Source organism: Homo sapiens, chromosome 11, assembly GCF_000001405.40.
Source record: "Homo sapiens chromosome 11, GRCh38.p14 Primary Assembly".
NCBI lineage: Eukaryota > Metazoa > Chordata > Mammalia > Primates > Hominidae > Homo > Homo sapiens.
In genome coordinates this window covers 5040932-5047787 of record NC_000011.10, presented here as the reverse complement: position 1 = coordinate 5047787, position 6856 = coordinate 5040932, and the positions used below count along the sequence as shown (strand labels likewise).

General features: G+C 36.9%; 1 protein-coding gene across 1 annotated transcript; it reads right to left on the bottom strand.

Moving 5' to 3' along the window:
• Positions 1–326: 326 nt before the first annotated feature.
• On the bottom strand, positions 327–1262 carry OR52J3 (olfactory receptor family 52 subfamily J member 3). The gene has a single exon (NM_001001916.2). The coding sequence runs from the start codon at positions 1260–1262 to the stop codon at positions 327–329; it is 936 nt and encodes a 311-aa protein (NP_001001916.2).
• Positions 1263–6856: the final 5594 nt, after the last annotated feature.

The window sequence follows — 6856 nt, the reverse complement described above, 5'->3', positions numbered from 1 at the left end:
AAAAAACACTCAGTAAAATATGTTCTTTCCCCAGAAAAGCAGCAGCCTGTGCTAACAAGCATTCTTCACAAGGTCATGCAGTCAAAGGCCCCACAGTTCTCTCCCAGGATATCCCTTCCAGGATAGTTGGTCAGTCTTTGAACTTCAACTACAATGATGTTTCTGACAGTTTTAAAATCCATTATTAGTCAGCATCCAGGAACAAACCAACTTGTATTGCAAGTTGACAGCAATAAGTTAAGGATCAGGAGATATTCCTTAAGGCAAGAACATATCGGTCTTTATAGAAGGATCAAAGCCCTTAGTAAAATAACATGGTAAGAGTCTTATTTTTTAGTAAAAACATAGAGCACTCGTTCTCGAATCTGTTTGGTCCTCACCCCATAAATGATGGGGTTGAGAGAGGGTGGGATAATCAAATAGAGATTGGCAACAAGAATGTGAATGTAACCTGGTATTTGGTGTCCAAATCGATGAGTAAGGAAAGAGAAGACTGAAGGGATATAGAAAACACAGATGACTCCAACATGAGCGCCACACGTGCTTAGGGCTTTTAGCTGAGCATCATGTGATGGGAGGCGGAAGACAGCACGGAGAATGTAAACATACGAGATGCCAATGAGCACCAGGTTCAGAACAAAGAAAGAAACTACAAAAAGCCCATAGATACCATTGATACGAATGTTTCCACAGGACAATTTTGCAATGCCCATGTGCTCACAGTAGGAATGGGCTATTATGTGAGCCTGACAAAAGGGTAGGCGGTAGATAAGATAGACCATGGGAAGTGTAAGTAAAACGGGACGAATTACAATGCACATGCTAATGCCCACCAACACTTGGGATGTCAAGATGGTTGCGTAATGTAGTGGAGCACAGACGGCCACATAACGGTCAAAAGCCATAGCCAGTAAGACCTCAGCCTCCATGCCAGTGAAGGCATGGATCAGAAACATCTGGGCCACACAAGCTCCATAGTTAATCTCGTGAGCATCAAACCAGAAGATACCCAGCATGCGAGGCACAGAGGTTGTAGAAAGGGCCAAATCAATAGTGGAAAGAATGGCCAGGAAGTAGAACATGGGCTCCCGGAGAGTCTGTTCTACCTTGATGACTAGCAGAATGGTGGCATTGCCCAGCAAAGCCACAAGGTAAACAGAGCAGAAAGGCCCGGAGATCCACATGTGGAAGTCTTCCAGACCTGGGATTCCAATGAGGAAAAATGTGACTGGGTGAAATATGCTCTTGTTGTGATAAAACATTTTTCCAAATCACAGTGTAGGAGAACTTGCCACATGTAGAAGCAGCAGCTGGGGAGAGAAGATTGAATAAGAAGTTTGTGTTTCATTCAGTATATGCAGAGCAAAAAGAAAAGGTTATTTGGAGGGTCCTGTTACTGTGTTTTGTAATCTACAGTCATTTGAATAGATCAGTCTCAAATAACTTAATTCTTATGTTTACATAATGATTGTAGTATAATGTGTAAACTTACACATTAAAAATTGAAGGATTCTATGACATAGAGTCTGATATTTAACTGGAATAATTGAAGATGCCCTGTACCCTTTATTAGTCCCTTGGTTGAAGAGGAATGCCTGAAAAATCAAAGATACACACAAGCGAAATGCCGATTAATTCAGGAGGAGACAGACTAATGAGGACATGAAGTTACAGACACAGATGTACACATATTTTTATAATTAAAAACTGCAAAAGTTCTTCTAATGATTTGTTAATCATTTATTGATGTAGGGCACATGCCAAGATTAAGCCTAATATCCTATCAAAAAGACAGAAAGATAACATGAGAAATGTAGATATAACAAACAAAAGCGTAAACACCCTGGAATGCTTGCCCCAGGAGCAAACACAGGCTGGGTCACATACCACCACACATGAAAGAGCTCAGAAAGAAAATAATAAACCTGTTGAGGATTTTCACTGATTAAAGTACTTTCTCAAGAGCAACAAATTTTTCGGTGGCTCATTTTGGATTTCTATAGTGATGGTAGTTTCTAGTGGTATTTGAAAGCATCATTTACTCTTCACTCTATATTAGTTCTCTAACTAGTATATACTGGGTTTATACCTCCTGCCTGATTAAGTCACTTTTCAGGTAGGTAGAGACAACCTAGAAGACTCCTTTGGTTATGTATTTGGAGAAGATGTTTTTGATGACACAAAACTGGAATAAAAAGGTCTATTTGCAGATAAAATTACTTTCTGTAATTTTCTAAAGGAAATATATAAGGGTGCTCTTTCAATGCTTTTGAAATTATGAAGAAGCAACCACTCATAAGCTGAAATAATGAAATCAAACTTCTGTGGGTCTCCAACTTGTGGCAGAGTGGTTCAGGATAGAAGAAAGTAGCACAGACTCCTGTTTCACCATTTATGTAGCTCCATATTTCTGACAAGTATGTCAAAGTGGAAAATACATCAAGATAAAAAATAAAATAAATAATATACCCATTCTGAGGTGTGGAGGGGGGTAGAGATATAGAGAGCAAGAAAGAGAGAGAAAAGGAGAGAGAAAGAAATAAGCTGTATTTCTACAGAAGTCCATTTTATTCCTTATAACCCATAGGAAAGGCAGAACATATATTTTACCAATAAACTATATAATTGCTTTGAATAAATACATCTATTCCATGGGTCTTCTAGATCGTTTTTAAATTTTCAATCTCCATTTAAGAGTTTCAAAGGATTTTTATTCCATTAGAGTCAGAAATTGTACTACCTGATCAATATCAAGCCCAGCAAGCTCAGCAACCCTTGATCATTTCTCACTTATTTCAATGTAATACATACCTAAGTCAAGAGAAAATTCACCTGCCTTATTATGTCATAGAAATATAAGCTCAAGGGGAGTATCAAGCAGCATGGCTCTATAGCCTTGTCATTTTTACAGTCCAAGAAGAGTCGTTTTATATTAAGGCTTTAGTTGCTTAGAACATTAGGAAAATTGAGTTAGCTGGGTTTTCTACTATAATTGGCACCATGAGATTGAATCCTCTGAGATGGTTAACAAAATTTTTGACTCTGATCTAGGGAATAGAAGCCCAAAGAAAAGTGATGAGTATAGAAATGTTCCTACAAAAAGATGCAGTTGTGGGAGCAAAAACATCCAAATATTATTATTTAATATATGGCATACAGATAGATACATTTTATTTCTAAGTGAAATTTTACCACCAAATTCTGTGGGATGTTGCTTTCTAGATAAAATAGTCCTTGATCCATATTAACTACCTAAGTTAAAGCCTAATAACCTGGCATTGCAGACTCCACGTTCAATCTTAGCTCTCGTATTCATTTCAATCACCATATGTTCTGAGTTTATTAAATGTTTAGTCTATGGATTAAGATCCTTGAGCCTTTGGTCACACTGCCCTCTGTCCATGATTGTTTCTCTATATTCCCCCACTTGCCAATTTTTCATACTTATATCACAGAGGTCATAGAGATAATTAGTAAAAATATCTACTCATGAAATGAGTTTGCTTCAGATCAAACACTGAATTTCTCATGTATACTATCTGTGTCAATTTGAATGACTTTCTTATTATCTCTTTGTCTCAGTTTCCTCAATTGAAAAATTAAGAATGATAATAGTACCCATAGCTTATAATATTTTTGAGGAATAATTTAAGTTGTTAATATAATACACTTAAATACAATACTTAGCATGCTTAAATGATTTTAAATGTTTTTAAAATGCTTTAAATGATTTTAAAATGTTAGTTTTTGTTATCACATAACTCAGCTCATAACAACACCTTCTTCTTAGACATCTGATCTATGAAAACCATATGGAGAAAACTCTCATGTCACTAAGTCTATACATTTGGTGTGAAAGTTCTCATTTATTCTAACATTTTATCCCTCGTTTTTCAGTCAAATGTATATATATATTTCTCATTCTCACTAAAATAACATTATAATAAATGGGAGAATTACTATCTTTTTACTTCATGCGGGAGAAGATATCTTAAACAATACTGAAGATACAATCAAGTTTAAGATGTAAAGCACAGACTTAAAAACATAAAGTTAAATTTGTCATCTTACTCTTTAGTCTTTTTGATTATATCACACAAACTTTAAATTTAAACTTCTGAAAGTTTACGAATTCAAATACAGGCATACCTCAGAGAGATTGCAGCTTCAGTTCCATACCACTGCAATGAAGTGAATGTCACAATACAGTGAGTCACACGAATATTTTGGTTTCCTGCTTGCTATAGTTTGAATGTCTGAGTCTCTGAAACTCATGTTGAAACTTAACCTCCAATGTGGCAGTATTGAAAGCTGGGGCCTTTCAGAGATAATTGGGTCATGAGAGTTCTGCCCTCATGAATGAATTAATCTACTTATGGATTAATGGATTAAGAGATTAATGGGAATGGAACTAAGAGAGACCTGAGCTAGCACATTAGCCCCCCTCACCATATGATGCCCCACACTTCCTTGAGACCCTGCAGAGTCCCCACCAGCAAGAAGTATCTCACCAAATGGGGGCCCTCAACCTCAGACATCTCAACCTCCATAACCACAAGAAATAAATTATATTATTTATAAATTACCCATTTTCAGGTATTCTATTATCAGGAACACAGACTATGACACCAATGCATATAAAAGTTATGTTGACACTATACTATAGTCTATTAAGTGTGCAATTGCATTATGTATAAAAATGCAATAAACATACATTAATTAAAAAGTACTTTGAAGAAAATGCTAATGATCATCTGATGGCTGCTGACTGCTCAGGGTGGTAGTTGTTGACAGTTGGAGTGGCTGTGGCAATTTCGTAAAATAAAACAACAGTGAAGCTTGTCAAATCAATAGACTCTTTCTTTCATGAAAGGCTTTTCTGTACCATGTAATTCTATTTTGTACCACTTTACCCTTAGCAGAGCGTCTTTCAGAATTAGTCATTTCTCTCAAACCCTGCTGCTGCCTCATCTACTCACTTTATATTATATAATACTCTAAATTATTTATCATTTCAACAAATCACTTTCTTTGCTCATCCATAAATAGCAACTCCTCATCCATTAACCTTTTGTCGTGAGATTGCAGCATTCAGTTCCATCTTCAGGTTTCACTTCTAATTCCATTTCTCTTGCTATTTCAACCATATCTGCAGCTGCTTCCTCCACTGAAGTCTTGAACCCCTCAACGTTATCCATGAGGTTGGAATGGGCTTCTTCCAAACTCCCGTTAATGTTGATGTTTGGATCTCCTCCATGAATCATAAATGCTCTTAATGTTATCTCCAATGGTGAATCCTTTCCAGAAGGTTTTCAATTTATTCCACCCAGATCCATCAGAAGAATCATTATCTACTTCAATTGTAACCTTATGAAATATTTCTTATACATTAAGACTTGAAAGTAAAAATTACTTATTGACCTATGGGCTGCAGAATGCATGTTGTGTTAGCAGACATGGAAACAAGATGAATCACATATGTCTCAATCAGAATTCTTGGGTGATTAGGTGCATTGTCAATGAGTAGTATTTTGAAATGAATATTTTTTTACTGAGCAGTAAGTGTGCTCAGTGTGCTTAAAATATTCAGTAAATGGCCGGGCGTGGTGGATCATGCCTGTAATCCCTGCCAGGCCAAGGCAGGTGGATCACAAGGTCAAGAGATCGAGACCATCCTGGCCAACATGGTGAAACCCCATCTCTACTAAAAATACAAAAAAAAAAAAAAAAAAAAATTAGCCGGGCGTGGTTGTGCACACCTGTAATCCCAGATACTCGGGAGCCTGAGGCAGGATAATTGCTTGAACCCAGGAGGCAGAGGTTGCAGTGAGCCGAGATCCGGCCACTGTACTCCAGCCTGGAAGACAGAGCGAGATTCCGTCTCAAAAACAAAACAAAATAAAAAATTTAGTAAACTATGCTATAAACAGATGTACTATCATCCAGGCTTTGTTGTTCCACTTACAGAGCACAGGCAGAGTAGATTTAACATAATTCTTAAGAGCCCTGAACTTTTTAGAATGATAAAATGAGCAATGGCTTCAACTTAAAGTCACAATTGCATTAGTAGCAGCAAGAGAGTAAGCCTGTCTATTGAAGCTTAGAAGCCAGGCATGTACTTTTCTCTACCTATGAAAGTGCTAGGTGGCATCTTATTCTGATATAAGGTTGTCTTGTCGACCTTGAATATCTGTTATTCAGGGTAGTCACTTCATCAATTGTCTTGGCTATAATAGGTCTTCTGGATAAGTTCAAACAGCTTCCACATCAGCATTTGCTACTTCACCTTGTCCTTTTATATTATGGAAACAGCATTTTGTCTTTAAACTCCATAAACTAACCTTTGCTAACTTCAAACTTTTCTTCTGCATCTTCCTCACTTCTCTCGTTCTTGATAGAATTAAACAGAAGTAGACCCTAGCTCTGGATTAGACTTTGACTTAAAGGAATATTTTGACTGGTTTGATTTTCTATACAGACCACTAAGACTTTTTCCATATCATCAATAAAGTTGTTTTGCCTTTTTATCGTTGATATGTTCACTGGAGTAGCACATGTAATTTCTTTCAGAGTATTTTCCTTTGCATCCACAACTTGGCTAACCTTTTGGCACAAAAGGCCTCACTATCGGCCGTCCTCACCTTTCAACATGACTTTCTCACTAAGCTTAATCATTTCTAGCTTTTAATTTAAAGTCATAGATGTGTGACTCATCCTTTCCCTTGAACACCTAGAGGCCATTGTAAGGTTATTAATTGGCCAAATTTTGATATTGTTGTGTCTCAGGGAATAAGGAAGCCTGAGAAGAGGGAGAGAGATGGTGGAACAATCATAACATATACAACAAAATACTGAA